Source organism: Homo sapiens, chromosome 2, assembly GCF_000001405.40.
Source record: "Homo sapiens chromosome 2, GRCh38.p14 Primary Assembly".
Classification (NCBI taxonomy): Eukaryota; Metazoa; Chordata; class Mammalia; order Primates; family Hominidae; genus Homo; species Homo sapiens.
This window is the reverse complement of record NC_000002.12, coordinates 237,962,479-237,983,059: the sequence shown is the minus strand read 5'-3', so window position 1 is coordinate 237,983,059 and position 20,581 is coordinate 237,962,479. Positions and strand designations below refer to the sequence as shown.

General features: G+C 49.3%; 1 protein-coding gene and 1 long non-coding RNA gene across 9 annotated transcripts in view, besides 3 other annotated features; both read right to left on the bottom strand.

Moving 5' to 3' along the window:
• UBE2F (ubiquitin conjugating enzyme E2 F (putative)) overlaps positions 1–16,046 on the bottom strand; it is a 75,769-nt gene extending 59,723 nt beyond the window's left edge. For 5 of the 8 annotated variants that reach the window (NR_103499.2, NR_103498.2, NM_080678.3 and 2 more), the window contains exons 1-2: positions 15,928–16,046; positions 9,835–9,968 (exon numbers count right to left, since the gene is read on the bottom strand). Coding sequence is in view for 5 of the 8 variants with exons in the window: in NM_080678.3 (NP_542409.1) it covers positions 9,835–9,952 (118 nt within the window). In the remaining 3 variants the exon portion in view is untranslated. Of the gene's footprint in view, positions 1–9,312; positions 9,412–9,834; positions 9,969–14,150; positions 14,273–15,927 lie in introns of those variants that run through there. The other 3 variants (NR_103500.2, NM_001278305.2, NM_001278306.2) reach the window with 3 other exon arrangements.
• The window catches only part of UBE2F-SCLY (UBE2F-SCLY readthrough (NMD candidate)), a 132,469-nt gene extending 116,354 nt beyond the window's left edge, over positions 1–16,115 (bottom strand). The window contains exons 1-2 of the long non-coding RNA NR_037904.1: positions 15,928–16,115; positions 9,835–9,968 (exon numbers count right to left, since the gene is read on the bottom strand). This is a non-coding gene — a long non-coding RNA (UBE2F-SCLY readthrough (NMD candidate)). The remainder of the gene's footprint in view (positions 1–9,834; positions 9,969–15,927) is intronic.
• Positions 15,823–16,002: a silencer, noted in NCBI's record as "silent region_12483". NCBI's record gives its function as "represses an Ori minimal core promoter by ATAC-STARR-seq in GM12878 lymphoblastoid cells {active_cell/tissue: GM12878}" and the evidence as "EXISTENCE:reporter gene assay evidence [ECO:0000049][PMID:35858748]".
• Positions 17,519–18,182: a transcriptional cis regulatory region, noted in NCBI's record as "candidate enhancer chr2.7219 targeted for multiplex CRISPR interference". NCBI's record gives its function as "positively regulates UBE2F gene expression with high confidence in K562 cells {active_cell/tissue: K562}" and the evidence as "EXISTENCE:mutant phenotype evidence [ECO:0000015][PMID:30612741]".
• Positions 18,509–18,912: a transcriptional cis regulatory region, noted in NCBI's record as "candidate enhancer chr2.7218 targeted for multiplex CRISPR interference". NCBI's record gives its function as "positively regulates UBE2F gene expression in K562 cells {active_cell/tissue: K562}" and the evidence as "EXISTENCE:mutant phenotype evidence [ECO:0000015][PMID:30612741]".

Sequence of the window (20,581 nt, the reverse complement as noted above, 5' to 3'; positions counted from 1 at the left end):
AGTTTCATATCAGCTTGGGTAACATAGTGAGACTCTGTCACTACAAAAACATAAAATATATACATATATTTACTTAACAAAATATAATGATGGTGATCCTAGGAAAGGTTTACCATTATTCTTCTCATGCCCACACTGATACATAGCTGCCTTTCCAATGGGCCAGATTTTGCCCTTCCTTAGAGCAATGTATGGGAAAGGCAGAGGATGGAGAAAGACAACAGAACCTCGGACCACACCACCCAACACTGGTCACATCTCACAGGTGTGACCTACACAGGTGAAGAGCAAATGAGTTGTTCATAATGATCACTTTTAAATAAGGGTTACCTATATAATTAAACTTGATCTTAAAGCAAATACTAACATTTTATTCTGTATTATTTATATTTTGTTGATTAGAATTTACAAGAAACTGTTCTTGAGGGCCCTTCTTTTGAGAGATTGATGCTGGCCACTGGAATCCAGCTTTCCCTGGCATGACTCTGGCAGTGGCCCAAGCCACCTCAGTAGAGGGTGATAACTCCTGTCATCCAGCTTTTCCTACGGGAATTTAGAAATGTGTCCAGACGGCATGGTAAGCGACTGTGGATTGCAAGCAGAGGGGCCAGCATGACACAAGCAAAAGGTTCAAGAGGACAGTCTAGTGACAAGGGAAGAGGTGAGGTCTGGGCACAGACGGACAATGAAGAGTGAGGCCACTGACCAGTGCTAAGACTGTGATGTGGTAGGGCGGAGGAGTGGGAAGAAATGGGCAACAGAGCCAGGCCCCTTCTCCTACGGGGATAGGGGTGCGGGAGCAAGAGGCACTCAGGGGCCAGCAAAGTGACAGCCAGGAAGATGCCAGACAACACCTGATAAAGAAAGGAATGGAAGCCCTGGCTGCACATTCGCCACTCGGGGAGTGTTTTGCTGGTTTGACATTTGACAGCTTTGTCAGGGACCAATTTACATACAATCAAATAGACCCATTTTAAGTAAATGATTCAATAAATTGTAGTACATTTTGGAGCTATGGATCCATTACCACAATCCAGTACCTGCTGAGCTTTTAAAACTCCTAATGCCCCAGCCCTAACCTTGACCAATTATATCAAGAGTTTCAGGTAGAACTTAGGTCTCTGAATTTTTAAAATTCTCTCCCAGCGCTCATGCCTATAATTCCAGCACTTTGGGAGGCTGAGAAGGGCAGATCGCATGAGCTCAGGAGTTTGAGACCAGCCTGGGCAACGTGGCGAAACCTTGTCTCTACAAAAGATACAAAAATTAGCCAGGCATGGTGGCATGCACCTGTACTCCCAGCTACTCAGGAGGCTGAAGTGGGAGGATCACTTGAGCCCAAGAGGCAGAGGTTACAGTGTGCTGAGATCGTACCACTGCACTCCAGCCTAGATGACAGACTAAGGCCCTGTCTCAAAAAAAAAAAAAAAAAAAAAAAAAAAAAAGAATTCAAATTCCAAGATGAGCATCAGGCTCACATTTGCATGTTCAGTGCAATTCACTCACGGAAGGAGGGCAGGCTGAGGGAGCTCCTGGACCCAGCCTACCAATGATCCCACCACAGTCACAGTCCCCACAGGCTTCTGGTCCAAGAGATAGTGCAAGCAAGGACTACAATCCTGGGGCACAGGATTTCAATAAAGATGCTTGGCATTTTAGTTCCACCAGGGCAGAAAATAAGCCAGGCACACTCCCACAGTGCTCATCTCAGGGAGTTGTCACAAATGGTAAGAAGTTTTGCTGCACTTCCAACGAGGGCAAATTAGAATTCACTAACATCAACAGTTATCACCTTAGAGTCAAGGTGCAGTAAGACTATTAGCAAAGCTTGGCAGCCTCTGGGCAAAGCAGTGGCCCTTCTCTGTACACCCTCACCACCTGAAGAACGCCACCCACCTACAAGGTAATGAGAAATGAAGATACTTTTAAAACTGCTCAAGTCTTGCCCATTTCAAGATGTGACCCGGCATTTCTGGGAGGCACCTGGCTGACAGCTTGCACAATTCCGTGGCCGCATAACTTCCTTCTGATAGATTAGACTCTTTTCCTTTCTAACTAAAGATCAAACCACAGGACCCATTTGAAGCGTGACTACACTGAAATATCAGATTGCAAAATCCACCTGATCACCACAGAGGCCCCCACACAGCACGTACTCACCTTCTCCTGCCCTGGCCCTAACACAGGGCTCCTGCTGGCTCCTTGCCGCCTGCTCCCTGACCCTGCATACCCTGTGGGCAGGGGCCATGTAATCTGCCCAAGCCCTATGAGCTCAGTACCTGGCACTGGGGCTGGGCACACATGGGGTGCTCAGGAAAAGGGGGACACATAAGCATACTTGCCTACAGGGTGGCAGTGCCCCTGCTATGAGTTTCCTCTAAGACCCAAGAATGTTTCTTTTCACATAGCTGGGAACTGAGGAGGCATTCCAAAGGCGCTGTGGACTGAATTTATGCCCTCCACCCCCAAATTCATATGTTGAAGCTCTAACCCCCAATGTGATGGTATTTGGAGGTAATTAGGTTTAGATCAGATCATGGAGGTGGAGGCCTCATGATGGGATTCATGCTGTTATTTAAAAAAAACAAAAACAAAAAACAAAGAGGGACCAGAGCTCCCCTTCTCTCCTCCACGTGAAGACACAGCCAGGAAGAGGCCATCTGCAAGCCAGGAAGAGAGCTCTCATCAGGAACTTGAAGGTGGCCTTCCAGCCTCCAGAAGGGAAACACATGCCTATTGTTTAGGCCAAACCATCTATGGTCCTTTGTTACAGCAGCCCAAGCTGACAAAGACAAAAGGCTGGTCACACAGGCAGAGGACTCTTGGCAAAAGCCAGCTCCAAGCCCCATCAGACAACACTAGGCAGAGCTGCTGAGCCCTTCAACCTAGGTAGAGACAGCTGCCACTTTCCAGGTGACCTGATTACTTCCTTAAACCTGAAGCACTGCCTCACAGATTTCTAGAACTAGAACTTTATTTCTTAGCTTCCCACTGCCTTCATGCATTAAAATCCTCAAATCCACCTTTTCTGCATGCCTCACAGCTGGGAGACACTCGACTCACACACAGGGCCTCAGCCCCTCCAGAGAGAGCACCACCAGGGCTGAGGCCTCACACTACAGAGTGCAGGCCCACAGTGCTCATGGTCCCCTCCAGGCTCTGGAGGAGCAAGGCTGTAGCTCTGAAAAGCAGTCACAGCCCCTGTAGCAGAGCCTGGTATCACTAAGAATGGAGCCCACAGGTCTCCTACCACTTACTTTGAACACAAATGCAGATGATGTCAACTTGAGCCCTCATCTATGCTTACACAGGGTCCTCCCTGCCCAGTGGGCTATGTGGTACACCTGAGGGGCTGCCAAGTTTCCCGGGGCAGCTCCACTGGCATTTAACCCTCCAACAAAGCATCTAAAGGTCAGCCTGTGGCCAACTGCCTTACATCCTCCCCTTGGGCCACTGCTCTAGTTTTTAAAATATGTATTGTAGCACAGAACCTCCCAGCGGCACACACTGCTAAATGCTGTGACTACCCTGACAATGTGGCATGCCACACCCTGAGCCCGCCCTGCTAGACTTCCGCGCCAGGACACGCTGGAGACAGTGGTTCCAGAAAATAGTAAATGCTTCTCTTTCTCCCCCAACACTGAAATGGGGACATGTTGCAGACCTCATATAGGAAGGTGAGGGGTCCCACCTGTGACTGGACTGCTCAGGCAGACACAGGCACCCTCACAGAGAGAGGCCCCTGCATCCTAGACACTGGGAAGCTCAGGCAGATGGGCAGCCAGACCCTCCCACTGCCCCAGCTCCCATCAGCCAAAACAAGAGAAGGTTAGAAACCACCTGGGACTCAGGGGCTGATTGGGACAAGGGGTACGCACAGAATCAACCCCCTTTAGCTCCCCTAACTCCAGACTTGACCCTGAAATGGCTCAATTCCAAATCCCCACATTTAACAAAGACTGACACAGGCAAAGGGTCCTGTCAGACCTCCTGGAGACCCTTGAGGTCTTTGGGGGTCACTAACTGTATGCTGGCACTACAATGCATGTTGGGTGAACAAGTGAAAGAACAGGGAGACAGACAGGCATTGAGCTATTAGATGGAAACAGTGCCAAACTTCAGACAGGTAAGAAAGCAATTAATTCTGCCCTGAGGGGTGTTTGGGGGGTAGGGAGCACCATGGACTCAGACCCTGATGGACTCAGTCACACAGAGGTTCACAGGGAATGCCAACAACAACACTGGCAATGGCCAGCCCTCCAGTCAGGCCTGGACCCAAGTCAGGGCCAGCTCAAATGCAGATCTGACTCTCTCTCCTCAGTGACCCCAGCTTCTGGAGTCAGGAGAGACAGCAGCCCAAAACACTCATCATTCTACACCCTCCAGGCAATGCAGCTACAAGCATCACTCCAGCTCCAGCCCAGAGGGTGCCCTCAGAACTGGACTGAGGATGCTGAGGAAATGTGGGTGTGGCTGAGCGGGGAGCCCTTGCGGCCATCTGGAGGCCTCCCCATGGCCGGCCACTCCAAAGCAGGCCACATGTTTCCAGAGACCTGGAATCGAGCCAGGAGAGCTGACTCTGGCCTCCCATCACTGTTCAGAACTGGGCTCACTCTTCCAAGAAAAAGAAGGGGCCTCTGTTGTGCAGATACCACTGGCCCTTCCTCGCACCCCTCCCCAGGGACAAGCTCCTGCCTCCTATAAGCTCAGCCCTACTGCCATCTGCACCACATCAGAGCCCACATCACAGGTGAGCAAGGCAATGAGCCAGGCGCTGTGATGCAGCAGCACCCAGATCCCCTCAGTGAGGGCTGTGGGCAGGCAGCCTTCAGCAATCAGCCCTTTCAGGGATTTGGTGGCTGCACAGACCTGCACTCCACACCACACCTGTCCCAGGCAACCCTCATCTAACGAATGACAGTTGCAGAGCAGGAAAACCTGACTATCTCACCAGACTGGGGACAGCTCTGAAGGGCTGTGCTTGTGCTTGCGCTTGCTCTTGCTCCAAAGCAGAGGCTGTCGTGGGGCCTTCCTTGCTGCTTGAGTCTCCCTCTGCCTGCTGTTGCTTCCCTCGCCTACCCCACAGGTATTGTCCCAAAGGTACCCCTTAGTAAGGATCCTGCATGACAAACTCCCTACCTCCTCTTCAGGAAACCCAGCCTATGGCATGAAGTCCCAGACATATTGATACAAATTTCTACCACCTATGGATGCTTGTGAATAACACCCTTACACAAGCCACAGTACCCGATGACAGTTCTGACTATAGTAATCTTTCTGAACTCCAACACTCTACTTTTCTCAAAGTCCCAAAAGGGAGTTTGGATTTCACCTGGAAAGGATTCTCACTTTATCACCCCTCAAAGTGCCTTGCCATGCCCTCCAACAGCCACAGCAGCCTCCACAGCACCACTTCCGCCATAACTCCCCAGAGGATAGAAGGCCAGACTGCCACCAGGGTCAACAAGCCACCCACAAAGCAAGCTAAACAAAGGAGCACTCTAGGGGCGGACCCCACAAGCATGAACCATCAGGCACTCTTGTTGCACTTTGTGTGTACAGCCACCTCTCTCAGATCAGGCCCACCCTTCTCTTTACCCTCACCTCACAAACTCCACCACAAGCCCAAACTACTCACCACTCAGCCTGGCCTGCAGCCCCTGAGGTGAGTGGAAGGAAAGGCCACGAGAGGGGAGGTTACACTGAGTTCTACTGCCATTTATCGCCAGTGCTTTGGACTCTGAAACTTAATCGCTACCAGTGCCTGGGGAGGATGGAAATGGTAGCCTCAAGCGTTGGCTCTGCACCTCTCCTTGTGAGACCCTTCTCCTTGTGAGACCTTCTTGTTCTTGATGGGTTGCACAAGGTCAGAGAACCTCAGCTGGGCCCTGTCAACCCAGCCAAAGATATTTCCTTCCTTGGAGCTGGAGGGGCGCCCAGGTTGGTAGGTCTTAGTGGGCTCTGTCAGCCCTGGAGCCGGCAGAGAGCTCCAGGGTGAGTTCCTGAGCAGGGCAGGAGACATGGAGACGCAGAGCCTCCTTGAACTCTCTTTTCTGTGGACTTGCACTTCTATTCTGCTACTTTGGTTTCTGCTTGTCGCATCTGCCCCCACAGAGCCTGTCCTACCCCAGTATGTGGGTCTGGCTGTCTTGCTGCAATAAACCCGCAAACTGGGCAAGTTTCTTAACCTGAGTCTCAGCAGTTTATGGGTAAAATGAAGGATCAATCTGGCAAGGCTTTGAAAAGTCAAACAAGAATTACCCCATTAAGTGCCTACTATGGCTCGAATGGGGCCAAAATTCATGCTGAAGCTTAATCCCCACTGTGGTAGTATTAAGAGGTGGGGCCTCTAGGGAAGTGATTGTCATCAGGGCTCTGCCGCATAAATGGATCAGGGCCTTATAAAAGAGCAGGAGGAAACTAGCTTAGGCCCTTTTTGCCCTTCCATCTCTTCTGCCATGTGAAGACACGGCAACAAGGTGCTATCTTTGAAGCAGAGAACTACCTGTACCAGATACCAATCCTACTAGGATCCTGGACTTCCCAGCCTCCAAAACTCTATTGTTTATAAATTACCCAATCTGTGGCATTTTGTTACAGCAGCACAAATGAACTAAGAAGGTGCCCAACAGAGGGCCTGGCCCTAAGTGCTCAGTATACAAAAGCTCCTATTAGCTACTATTAACCATGACAATGATTGGGTAAAGAAGATGGGACAGTCTGTTTGTCAGCTTCTACCCACTCCTCCTCAGCTGACATCCAGGCCCTCCTTGCTGCAACTCCTCAGGCACTGAAGCACTCACTGTCTACTCCAAGTACAGCAACAACACACCATTTTCCTGGCTTGTGCTGCAGATGGAGCCCGGAATCTGAGAAGACACTCAAGTCCTATCAGGCACACCCAAGTAAGGTGCTCCAGCTCTTGCCCCGCCCTCTGGGCCTCTTAGGGTAAAGCCTCCAGCACAACAGACGCTGAATACAATCTACTATTCTCCCAGGCTTAGTAGGTAAGGCCAAAATGTGAAATACCATTCTCACTCCACTTTCAACCAATCATCAGGCTGGATAATCCAAAACTAAGTCCAAACTCAGGGGCAGAAGGAGAGTAAGAAAAAGAGTACAGGCCAGGCACAGTGGCTCATGCCTGTTAGTCCAGCACTTTGGGAGGTCAAGGCAGGCAATCACTTGAGGTCAGGAGTTTGAGACCAGCCTGGCCAACATGTTGAAACCCCGTCTCTACTAAAAATACAAAAATTGGCTGGGCGTGGTAGTGTGTGCCTGTAATTCCAGCTACTCAGGAGACTGAGGCATGAGAATCGCTTGAACCCAGGAGGTGAAGGTTGCAGTGGGCCGAGATCATGCCACTGCATTCTGTCTTAAAAAAGAAAAAGAGGACACTGTTAAGTCCCCACAAACCCAGTGCCCTCACAGTTCCCATTCCTTCCCCAGTTTAACAGTGATTTGTGTCTGGGAAGGCCAAGCACAGCACATTTACATACACCAGCTCTTCTGCTGTTAGATTCTTCAGGACACGTAAATGCCTGCAATCTCCATGTTGTCAACCTAATACAACATGAAAACAGGGAGTTCGAATACACTAATCAACCCTTTGCTTTCTAGCTGCTCTACATGTAAGAAATGTAAACACTTGACGGGTACAGTGGCTCACACCTGTAATCCCAACACTTTGGGAAGGCCGAGGTGCGTGGATCACTTGAGCCCAGGAGTTCAAGACCAGCCTGGGCAACATAATGAAACCCCATCTCTACAAAAAAATAAAAAATAAAAAGACTAGCTAAGCATGGTGGTGCACGCTTGTAGTCCCAACTACTCAGGAGGCTGAGGTGACAGGATCGCCTGAGCCCAGAAGGCTGAAGCTGCAGTGAGCCATGATTACGCCACTGCACTCCAGGCTGGTGATAGAGTAAGAGTCTGTCTCAAAAAAAAAAAAAAATTTTAAAGAAATGTAAACACCTGTGATAAAGTAAGGCCAGGCACAGTGGCTCACGTCTGTAATCCCAGCACTTTGGGAGGCAGAGGCGGGTGGCTCACCTGAGGTCAGGAGTTCAAGACTAGCCTGGCTAACATGGTGAAACTCTGTCTCCATTTATGGCCGGGCACAGTGGCTCACACTTGCAATCCTAGCACTTTGGGAGGCCGAGGCGGGTGGATTATCTGAGGTCAGGAGTTCAAGACTAGCCTGGCTAACATGGTGAAACCTCGTCTCTATTAAGAATACAAAAATGGCTGGGCACGGTGGCTCATGCTTGTAATCCTAGCACTTTGGGAGGCCGAGGCGGGCGGATCACCTGAGGTCAGGAGTTTGAGACCAGCCTGGCCAACGTGGCGAAACCCCATCTCTACTAAAAATACAAAAAATTAGCTGGGCGTGGTGGCAGGCGCCTGTAATCCCAGCTACTATGGAGGCTGAGGCGGGAGAATCACTTGAACCCTGGGGGCAGAGGTTGCAGTTAGCCAAGATTGCACCACTGCACTCCAGCCTGGGTGACAGAGCGAGACTCCATCTCAAAAAAAAAAAAAAAACAAAAAAAAAAAAACCACAAAAATTTGGCCAGGTGTAGTGGCTCATGCCTGTAATCCCAGCACTTTGGGAGGCCAAAGCGAGCAAATCACCTGAGGTGGGGAGTTCAAGACCAGCCTGATCAACATGGAGAAACTCCATCTCTACTAAGAATATAAAATTAGCCAGGTGTAGTAGCGCATGCCTGTAATCCCAGCTACTCGAGAGTCTGAGGCAGGAAAATTGCTTGGTACTCGAGAGGCTGAGGCAGGAGAATTGCTTGAACCTGGGAGGCGGAGGTTGTGATGAGCCAAGATCACACCACTGCACTCTAGCCTGGACAACAAGAGCGAAATTCCATCTCAAAAAAAAAAAAAATGAGCTGGGCGTGGTGGCGGGTGCCCGTAATCTCCGCTACTCAGGAGGCTGAGGCAGGAGAATTGCTGGAACCCAGGAGGTGGAGGTTGCAGTGAGCCAAGATTGTGCCACCGCACTCCAGCCTGGGTGAGAGTGAGACTCTGTCTCAAAAAAATAAATAAATAAAATACAAAGTTAACTTTATTATAAATAAGCAAATTATAATCTCCTTAAAGGTTGCAACTGTTTCTTCATCTTTTATAGGTCTTATGACCCCCAAGAAACCGACTTCAAAGCACTTGAAAATTTTAAGAGTTTGCTAAATGAATAAATGCAAAATTTATGCTCAAACATACAAATGAATGCATATCTGCATGCACGCATACTCTCATACATTTTACCAACCCTTCTCCAAGGATAAAGTTTCTCCTCACCAACATGGATAGCAGAAGTCACGAAAACTCTAGAACACTATATGTTATTAATTCCGTGAAGAGAACTAATTTTTCACAAGATTCGCCGTAGGCTTTGACCTGAATAAAACAGGAAAAGATCCTAAGAGATTACAAAATTTGACTCCTTCCCCTTTACAGAGCAGAAACTATGGTGCTGAGAATCAGAAAGAAAGGAAGATAATGGCAGCTCTGAAACCAGTCTTAGGCTTTGCTGACTCTCAGCACCTTATTCTTTCTGCTAGCATTTTGGCAGACGTGACAAAGAACATCCCAAGTGTATAAGACACACTGCAGTTTCTAATACCATCTCCTTGCAACAGTGTGCTCATATCACCTGCGTGGTACAATGTCCTTCACTATAAGAGATAAGCAATTATATTTTAAAATCTTTTAAACAGGTATTTCTATTCAGCAGTAGGTTGCTTTATATCCCCAAAGACTCTCCAGTCAAACTTCCTTTTGTTATAGGATATAAAAACAGTTCACACGAATGATCATTACCTTTAACAAGCAATTTGTCTCTCACAGAAACCCTCCGAGTCGAGTCGGACGCTGTGGCTGCCGTCCGGGACCCTTTGAGACCATCGTCACGCTTCAGTTTACTTGCTAGCGTTAGCATTACTGCTGCCTTTACCCTGAAAGACAGCAATGAAAGCAGGGTTAAGGACCAGGTCTCCAGAGACTAATTAGACACTGAGAAAAATGTATAAGTGCTTTTGTATTTTGATTTTTTCCCACAATTTAGTTATGGAAAAAATTTGTACACATTAATAAGATTGGATTCCTTCATAATACATTTGAGAAGCTCTATGCCATCCTCTATAAGCCTAACTTTTAAAATTATGAATTAACATTTTTTAAAAAAGAGAGTCATGGCTGGGCACGGTGGCTCACAACTATAATCCCAGCACTTTGGGAGGCCAAGGTAGGAGGATTGCTTGAGCCTAAGAGCTCAAGACCAGCCTGGGCAACATGGCAAAACCCTGTCTCTACAAAAAATATAAAAAAATTAGCCAGGAGTGGTGGTGTGTGCCTGTAGTCTCAGCTACTCGGGAAGCTGAGGTAGGAGGATCCCTTGAGCCTGGGAGATTGGGGATACCGTGAGCCGTGATTGTGCCACTGCACTCCAGCCTGTGTGACACGGCAAGACCCTGTCTCAAAAAAAAAAAAAAAAAAAAAAAAAAATTTAAAATTAAAAAGAGTCATGCATTTCACACTCACTGGGTGCCAGGTCCTGGGATGTGGTTGTGACAAAGCTCCCGTGGAACACAAGGTCTAGGGTGGCCTCCACAGTTTCTCAACCAGCATGCCCTCACCAATGGGTTCCACATGAGTCCATTACTGCCCACTGGTAAGTTGGCCCTTCCCTGCTGCAGGGGATCATGCACACACATGGTACGGTCCCAGGTTCTGGCCCATCACCAACTGAAGCAGCACAGCCTCTGGTGGAAGAGGAGCACCACTCTTTGCTCTCCTTCCTCTTTTAATAAAGGTGTGGATAGAGCCTTAATAAGCATCTTCTCATTTATTCATGCTGTGTTGCATTTACTTACATTTGTGTTTTATTTATATTTTTTGGCAATTTCAACATCAAGACTAAATTAAAATTAATGTCCCAAAGTAGATTATGTTCATTGGTGGCTTCCACCCCATCTGTGTTGCAGGTTCCCCTGCTGCAAGCTCACTAGTAGGGACAACAAAGACCAAACACAGGTGATGCCCCTTGCTATCTGGGAGACGGTTGAAGAAATGCCACAATTTGTTTAAGATTTTATTTTTTAATGGCAGTTTTAAGTATACAGTAAAATTAACAGGAAGGTACAGAGATTTCCCATACGCCCCCTGCCCCAACACATGCACATCCTTCCCCTATTACCAACATCTCCCACCAGAGGGTACATTTGTTACAATTAATGAACCCACATTAACACATTATAACTCAAAGTCCACAGCTTACATTATGATCCCACTAATTGTAACAAAGTAACTATCCGCTAGACTCTGCCTTCTGTTTCTAACATAAACTGACATTAATCGTCCTCCTTGCCATGGTCAGAGAGGGTCACTGGAACTTCTTTTGACTGAGGACAAATATTTGTCACCAGGGCCAGGTGCCGTGGCTCATGCCTGTAATCCCAACACTTTAGGGGAACGAGACAGGTGGATTATGAGGCCAGGAGACCGAGACCACCCTGGCCAACATGGTGAAACCCCGTCTCTACTAAAATACAAAAAAATTAGCCGGGCGTGGTGGCCCACACCTGTAGTCCCAGCTACTTGGGAGGCTGAGGCAGGAGAATCACTTGAAGCCGGGAGGCAGAGGTTGCAGTGAGCTAAGATTGCACCACTGCACTCCAGCCTGGCAACAGAGTGAGACTCAAAAAAATAAAATAAAATAAAACAAAATAAATTGTCACCAGTTCAATATTTCCATAATTTCCTTTGTTGCTTTCGTATCATTTTATTTCAATACCACTCTGATCGTTTCAACAGAAAATGATCTAAAAATTCCATGTGAAAAGCTTGACCTAAGCACAGAAATTTTAGGTTGAGGCTAAGATCCTGAAAGTCAAATAAGAATACTCCGTTCCTCATTGGCATTTGAAACCATTTTTCACCCAGGTCTCTTACACAGTTTCTCACACCATCTTCTGCATATCCCCTAAATGCTGTCAGATTTTATTTTCTATTGTTTGTACCATGAAAACAGTACAGGCCAGGCATGGTGGCTCATGCCTATAATCCCAGCACTTCGGTAGGCCGAGGCAGGTGGGTCACCTGAGGTCAGGAGTTCTAGACCAGCCTGCCCAACATGGCAAAACCCCATCTCCACTAAAAATACCAAAAAAAATTAGCTCGGCATGGTGGCGGGTGCCTGTAAATCCCAGCTACTCAGGAGGCTGAGGCAGAAGAATAGGTTGAACCCGGGAGGTGGAGGTTGCAGTGATTGTGCCATTGCACTCCAGCCTGGGCAACAAGAGTGAAACCGCATCTCAAAAGATAAAAAAATTTAAAGAATTTTTTCAAAACGAAAACAATACATAGAATACGATCTTCTGAACTGCACAGTCTTTTCCACTAGAGGACACGGACATACACATACCCTAAACCCCTTAAGAAGCACTGGTCTAAAGGTTTCAAAGACAGCTCTGCACTTTCACGGTCATAAGCTCTCAGAATTGCAAAGTTGGAATGGACTTCTCTCACTCCCATTCCATTTTAACATGTGGACCCCAGGACAACAGAGGCCCAGAAGGTAGGCTGCCCAAAGCCACTCAGCTGCTAGAAGCTGTCACCACAGACACACTAGTTTCCCTCTTGTGGATGACAAAAATGTTTTTTGTTTGTTTTTTGAGACAGGTCTTGCTCTGTAGCCCAGGCTGGAGTGCAGTGGCGTGACTTGAGCTCAGTGCAGGCTCAAACTCCCAGGTTCAAGAGATCCTCCCACCTCAGCACCCTCCACCTCCTAAAGCAGCTAGGACTACAGGCAGGCACCATCATGTCCAGCTAATTTTAATTTTTTTTGTAGAGACAGGGTTTCACCATGTTACCCGGGCTGGTCTTGAATTCCTGAGCGGAAGCAATCCACCTGCCTCAGCCTCCCAAAGTGCTGGGACTACAGACGTGAGCCACCATGCCGGGCAGGAAATGTTTTTATCTCGAGTGTGGTCATGGTTTCAGACTGATCAATTACACAATTTAAATATGGGCAATTTAGTGTATTTCAATTACGCCTCAATAAAGTTGACAAAAATGTGAAAATAAACCAACATTAGTTTCTTCATTGTTACGCTACTGTGCCATCTCCTCAGGTGGCCCTCCATAAGAGCACATCTTCACAGCTTCGCCCAGAGCAAAGCAGCTGGGTTCAGCTGATGAAGTTACTTCACAGGCAAATAGTCACAAACACCTGTAGGGGCTTTAGCTACCACAGACAGCAGCACCATCTAGAGCCAAGCTCTCCTGCTTCAGCCCCTACCTGGAATGATCTTGTCAAAAATCCCTCACAAGGATTCCTTGTCATGGAACAGTGTCTCCCTTCCCAGCCAAGTCTGCTGCCCCGTGTGCAGACTCGAGCACATCAGTCCTGCCACATCGTCAGAGTCACCCAATAATGGACCAAGACGTGCATCCATCCATCACCTGGGGGTCAGCTGGACGCACCAGATGCCCTACACAAGGACTACCAGGTCTCTGGCTGACCTTGGGAATGCAAATGAAGCAAAGAGTGAAAAATAAAAGCACAACTGCTTGAACATGAGTTCAGCAGGCAGTAACCTAGGAAAGTCAGAATGAAGAGTCCCACAGAACAGCAAGCACCAGGGCCACATGCAGCTCCCTGAAGGAGGCTCAGGGAAGCCTGGGGAGAGAGATCCTTCATGCACTCAAAGGCCAACCACCAAGAAACTCTTCTGCACCACTACAGCCCGCAGGCTACGCTTAACGCTTTTATACCCCCAATCACGCCACGATGAAGTCTTCTCTGTGGGCAGAAGACGCTCCAACATTCAATTCCACTGAAGAGTCAGATTGCTGGTTTACTATCTTCAAGTCTGTGACTTGCAAGATATAAAAGAATGTAACACTGGTGCTTTGTTTTCCATAGAAAGTAATAAAAAATGTACTTCTCTAACATTCTAAGAAATCTAATATAGTGACCATCTATTTTTCTATCGTGTGTATCATTTTCACACGCCACTTTAAGAATAAACCCAAGGCCTAATTTGGGAATGTTGCCATAGCTGTAAAATTAAATTTAAACCAAAGGATTCTATCAAAAAGTAAGTCTTCAAACTGTCAAGAGGCTAGCTGAATACCTGCAGTTGCTTCAGAATTCTTTTCCTTCTTCAATATGCTTCAACTCTTGAAGATCTGGTTTAAAACAAAACTTCCTCTTTCCTGCAAATTACGCTCTAAGGCAGCATTTCGGTAACAGATCAGCTGTTCTGAACAGCATTCTCAGTTTCTAAATTCCACAAGTTGTAATTGGCCCAGTTAGGTTCCTCCTCTGGGTGGGACCTGCTTTCAGACAGCCCGGAGAAGAGCATCTGGTGTGCAACTTACTAGTGCCATCAAGTGATATTTACTCAGCATCCCTGCAAGCAATGGCAAAACCAGGCCATGTCACTTGTGCAGGGACACCAGGGGCCAGTCAGCTCAAGGTGAGGGGGCTACTTATTTACAATTCCTTCCGAATGGAGACGTCTCAATCCAAGCATAAAGGATGGGACTGCGGGTCACTAGGGGACACTCAACTTCCCCAGCCAAAGGGGCCCCGATCAGGGCACAACAAAGTCCACATCCCACTCTTCTACAGAATGCCAGTGCCCAGGAACCTCCTGCTCGGCACAGGAGTACGCTGGTTGACCGACCATCTTTGGAGCCCAGCCCCTTTTACGTTCAGCAGTAAACCTGCCCCTTCCTGCACTGCCTACTACCTGAAAGGCAGGTATGTCCAGGTGGGGGGTCCTCAAGCCCCACAGCACTAAGCTTGGTGTGATTCTGTCTCTCAATCTCTCTCTCTCTCCCACCTCTATGCTCCCCCTTGCCTTCATCTCACTCCTCAGCCAGGATTCCTCTGCACCAGGCAGGCCAGTTTCCTCTTTGTTCCTTCACAACACCCTGTTCATTTCCAGAAGCTTCTATTCAGTCTGATACCCAGGTCTAGAATGCCCTCCTTCCCTTCACAAACGAATCCTACCCCTTCCTTAAGGGGAAGATTCCTACCTACATCCCAACATCTCCTCCTCCAAGAAGCTTTCTCTGGCTATTCCAACCCATCCTGCCCCCACTTCCAGGCGGTCGGGAATGCAGAGTGGGGGGACCCAATTCTCTCCTGTGACAGATGAGGAAACTGAGCCCAGGGAGGGGAAGGCCACACCCAAGATGACACACCAGCAGAACTAGGTCTGGAACCAAGACTCTGCTGCACTAATTGTTCCAAGATGCCCTTCCTTCCTCGTCTCCTTTGCTGTGGTAAAAATTTTCCAAACTAGCCTGGCCGCCCCCAGTTGTAGGTAAGCGTCCATACTTACTCTTCCCGCTGCAGGTACGAGGACCGGGCGCGAGTTGTCACTCCCCTCACCTCCCCCGCTCCTCACGGCCTAGCGCGACTCCTGCCCCGATCGGGAGTCCAGTCCCGGTTTCTGCGGCCACGTCGGGCCGGTGACCTTGGCCAGGCGCTGGACGCCCCGCTTCCTCCGTACAAGGCAGGCAGCCGATCCCGCGAGTGGGGCGTGAGCGCGGCCAGGTCTGTGCCACGCTCGGCCCAGGGCCTGGTTCACACCAGGTGCTCGGCGCGGGCCGTCCCCCGCCGCCGCCGCCGCGGTCACTCACTGCCGGGCGAGGCCAGCGCCCCGGCCGCCGACGCCGCCTCCGACCCCCGGCTCGCGGCCCGCGGCCCGCGGCCCCTTCCCATTCACGCCGCTCGGCCTCGCGTCCGGGTGCCCGCGCCCGCCAGGCCCCCGGCGTGAGGAACCCGGCGGGCCCGAGGCGGCCCCGCCACCGCCCGCGCCCTCCGCCCGGCCCGCAGGCCAGCCCGTGCACCGGCGGCCGCACCTCGCCCCGCCGCAGAGCCGCACGGTCGCTCCTCACCTGGGCTCCCCGAGACAGGCGAGGCGGGCCCGGCGCCCAACACCATGCCCGGTCCGGGCGGCTGCTGCGAGACGCGGCCCCTCACAGCCGCACCGGCTCCCGGCGGCGGGACCGGAAGTGGCGGGGCGGGGACTCGGCCGCTCTCGCCCGCGGCAGCCGAGACAGCAGCGGGCGCTTTAAAAAAAAAATTCAAAGTCGCGAAAAACTTTATTTGGAACCAGACACGCGAACAGCGGCGTGCGCCGATCGGGACTGGGCTGGGCGACGGGCCTCTCGGACCTCGCTCATTGGCAGAGGGCGCGGCCAGGGGGCGGGCACGGATTTCGCAACCGCCGCTGATTGGCGAGTAGCGTTAGGGGCGGGGATTCCGAGTTGGCTCTGGAGCCCGAGCGCCGGAGGGCTGGGGGTTTTGCACCTGGTTCCAACACGGGTTCACTTCGTGGTCTGCAGGGTTTAGGGGCACGGAGGAGCCCGGGCTATCCTTCCCTGAAGGAGCGGCCTCCGTGGCTGGAGCTCCCGCTGTCCAGCGCCGCACCTGGAGTGCAAAGGACTGGACAGGCCCCCGCAGCCTGCAGTGCAGGCGGTGAGGGAGACCGGGCGGTCAGACACGCAAGCCACGACCAACCCCAAACCGTGTGCTGCGCCCACAGGCCCCACTGTTCTTGTCATGTCCCTTTTATTCCTTCTTTTCTCTCTTAAATGTGTTTAAAGTACCTTAAAAATCCATTTCAACTTGTCCTCTTTTGGGCGCCCAGATTCATCCCGCGCCCATTAGCGTCCTGTGTGATTGACGAGGGGCCGTCCTGGGCGTCAGGCAGGCCCCTGGAGGAGTGGGCCATTAGAAAGATGAGGTTCAGCATGGAAACGGTCAGAAAGAGACAAGGAGTTAGACTTTCATTTCGAAAAACCCCACTGAGAGGTTTCTAACAGTGGAGTGACTATCAGGTTTTCTTCCTAAAGGAGGCTGGCGGGCCCGGTGGCTCACGCCTGTAATCCTAGCACTTTGGGAGGCCAAAGTGGGAGGATCCCATGAGCCCAAGAGTTTAAGACCAGCCTCCTGATGGTGGCAAGACCCCATCGCTACAAAAAAAGAAAAAAAAAATTAGCCGCGTGGTGGCGCGCGCCTGTAGTCCCAGCTACTCAGGAGGCTGGGATGGGAGGATCACCTGAGCCCAGGAGGTTGAGGCTGCAGTGAGCCGTGATCGCACCACTGCACTCCAGCTTGGGTGACAGGGCAGACCCTGTCCCCATAATAATAATAAAGGCTTTGGCTCTAAGTGAGTCGGTGGGAATGGAGTCAGGAAAACTGGTCAAGAACACAACTCAGCCGGGCGCAGTGGCTCAGGCCTGTAATCCCAGCACTTTGGGAGGCCGAGGCAGACAGATCACCTGAGGTCAGGAGTTCAAGACCAGCCTGGCCAACATGGCAAAACCCCATCTCTACTAAAAATACAAAAAAGCCGGGCGTGGTGGTGCGCCCTTGTAATCCCAGCTATTTGGAACGCTGAGGCAGGAGAATTGCTTGAACCCAGGAGGCGGAGGTTGCAGTGAGCTGACACTGCACTCCAGTCTGGGTGACACAGCAAGACTGTTTCCAGAAAAAAAAGAAAAAAGAAAGAACACAACTTGTGTTATTTCTTGTGTTTGGGACCATGTCTCTCCCTTTTTTGCCCGGCTAACTCTCAAGTTTTCCTAAGCTAAGACACCAACTTCTGATAGGCCTCAAAGCCTGGGGGTGGGGTGGGGCAGTGCAGGTGCCCTCTGTGTCTTCCTTGGAGCCCTGCACTTCCCTCTTCCTTATTGTCATGGCCTGTTTCCCTGACTAAGCTCAGCTCCTCAGCCCTCCTCTTCCTTCTTCCTCCAGCGTCACCTCCTGCCACCCCCTTTCCCATCCTGGAACATGCAGGTGATTAAAACACATCTGCTGGATAGAGATTGCATGCGCTGGCGGCATGAGTCCTGGTGAGAGGAGATAAGGGCTTGAAGATTGCAGTGTGTGAAGGTGCAGCCGGAATGGCGTGAGCACTTGTCTTACTCATAAGCGTCACTGTCTGCAGAATGGATTGCACCACACATTGGCCCACGTAGGCCCAAATTCCACCGCTGTGGATGAATGAAGTCATTTCTAGCTCCATTTCATGAGGCTGCCTAATTCTTTCACTAAGACTTATTTAGGACTTCCTAGTTTATTAACTCAATTAATCCAAACAATAACCCCATGAAACAGGTATTATCCCCATTTTATAGATGAGGAAACTGACACAGAAGTTAAGTAGTCTGTTGGCAAAAAAGGTCAAACTGTAAAATATTTGAAGAGATTTTATTCAGAGCCAAATATGAGTGACGAAGGCCTGAGTCACAGCCTCAAGAGGTCCTGAGAACATGTGCCAAGGTGGTTGGATTACAGCTCGATTTTTATAAATTTTAGGGGTGTCAGAGGCGTTTGAACCAGAGCAACTCCATCTTGAGGCTAAGACCTACTGGGCTACATTCCCAGGAGGTTAGGCATTCTAAGTCACAGGATGACATAGAAGGTTGGCACAGGTACAGGTCACAAAGAGCTTGCCGTTAAAAGGATGCCATTAAGAAGCCGGCCAAAACCAAGATAGCGACGAAAGTGTTCTCTGTTCATCCTCACTGTTCATTACGCACTAGTTATAATGTATCTGTTGCTAAAAGACACTCTCACCAGTGCCATGACAGTTTACAAATGTCATGGCAAAGACAGCAAGTTATCCTATGTGATCTAAAAATGGGAGGACCCCTCAGTTCCAGGAATTGCCCAGCCTTTTCCTGGAAAACTCACGAATAATCAACCCCTTGTTTAGCATATAATCAGGAAATGACCATAAAAGTGGCCAACCAGCAGCCCTTGGGGCTGCTCTGCCTACGTAGTAGCCATTCTTTTATTTCCTTACTTCTCTAATATACTTGCTTCACTTTACTCTAATGGATTCCTCTTGAATTCTTTCTTGTTTGAGATCCAATAACCCTCTCTTGGGGTCTGGATCAGGACCCCTTTTTGGTAACAGGGGGACAGAAGTTACAGGCAGACACCAATCAATACATGTACATTAGTTCAGTCTGGAAAGGCAGGATAACTGGAAGCAGGGAAGGGTAGGCAGGAGCTTCTGGATCATAGGTAGATTCAAAGATTTTCTGATTGGCAATTTGGTTGAAATAGTTATTGTCTAACGAACTGGAATGAATAGAAAGGAGTGTCTGGGATAAGATAAGGTGTTGTATAGACAAATGTTCTTATGTAGATGAAGCCTCCTGGTAGCAGGCTTCAGAGAAATAGATGGTAAGTATTTCTTATCAGACCTAAAAAGATGCCAGACTCTTGGTTAATCTCTCCTGGATCAGAAAAAGATCTGGAAAGGGAAATCTACAGAACGTAGATTTTCCCCACAAGAGACAGCTTTGCAAGGCCATTTCAAAATATGTCAAAGAAGGCTGGGCACGGTGGCTCATGCCTGTAATCTCAGCACTTTGGGATCACGAGGTCAGGAGTTCGAGACCAGCCTCACCAACATGGTGAAACCCCATCTCTACTAAAATACAAAAATTAGCCAGGTGTGGTGGCAGGCGCCTGTAATCTCAGCTACTCAGTAGGCTGAGGCAGGAGAATCACTTGAACCCGGGAGGCTGAGGTTGCAGTGAACCAAGATTGCTCCATTGCAATCCAGCCTGGGTGACAGAGCAAGACTCTGTCACAAAAAAAAAAAAAAAAAAACTCAAAGAAATATATTTTGGGGTGAAATATTTCTCTTTCTTTCAGGGCCCACCGTCATGTGATGCTATACTAGAGTCAGTTGGAATTTGGCATCTTATTAGTACAAACAGCCTGTTTTGTCAGTCTTATGATCTCTGTTTTAATGTTAATGCTGGTGAGCTGTGCTTGAATGCCAAAGTGAGGAGGGTATAATGCAGCATGTCTGACCCCTCCTTCCCATCATGGCCTGAACTAATTTTTTAGGTTTCTTCAGAATCCCCTTGTTCAAGAGGAGGGGTCCATTCTGTCGATTAGGGGGCTTAGAATTTTATTTTTGGTTTACATGTCCAACATGGCTGTGAGGAATAGAGAAGTTCTTCAAAGTTTCTTAAAACCATAAAGAGCTTGTCATTTCTTTGCTTTATGCATATCTATATATGTTCCAGTGCAGCTGCTCTGACTTGACCTGGCATGCCTGGACAGGGTTAAGGCAGCCCGGGACCATAGTGCCTGCCATAGCTTATTTGGAAACCCTCCTGACCCTCTCATGACTAGCTTCCTCTTTCCTTTGTCCTCTTTCCTCTTTACCTATTTAGAAAAGTTTCAAGCTGTTAGCCAATCAGGTCAAGCTTAGAATGTGAGGTCCCATTCTGGCCAATGGAAATGGGACACAGCCATAGGACGATTGCATCAGGTTACAAAGATTATAAATGTCCCCATCTCCTTTGTTCAGGTGTGCTCTCATGGCAAGACTGCTAGCGAGCGGCACCCTTTCTGCAGAAACTAAACTAGCCTTGCTGAGAGATCCTTTGTCTCAGTGTTGATTTTGCCACACCGAACTCCCATTTCCAACAATGGCAGAGCTAGGATTTAAAGCCAGGCAGTCTGACTCTGAGATTTGCCCTCAGCCAGCACACCTTGAGGCAGCTGATACAAAGA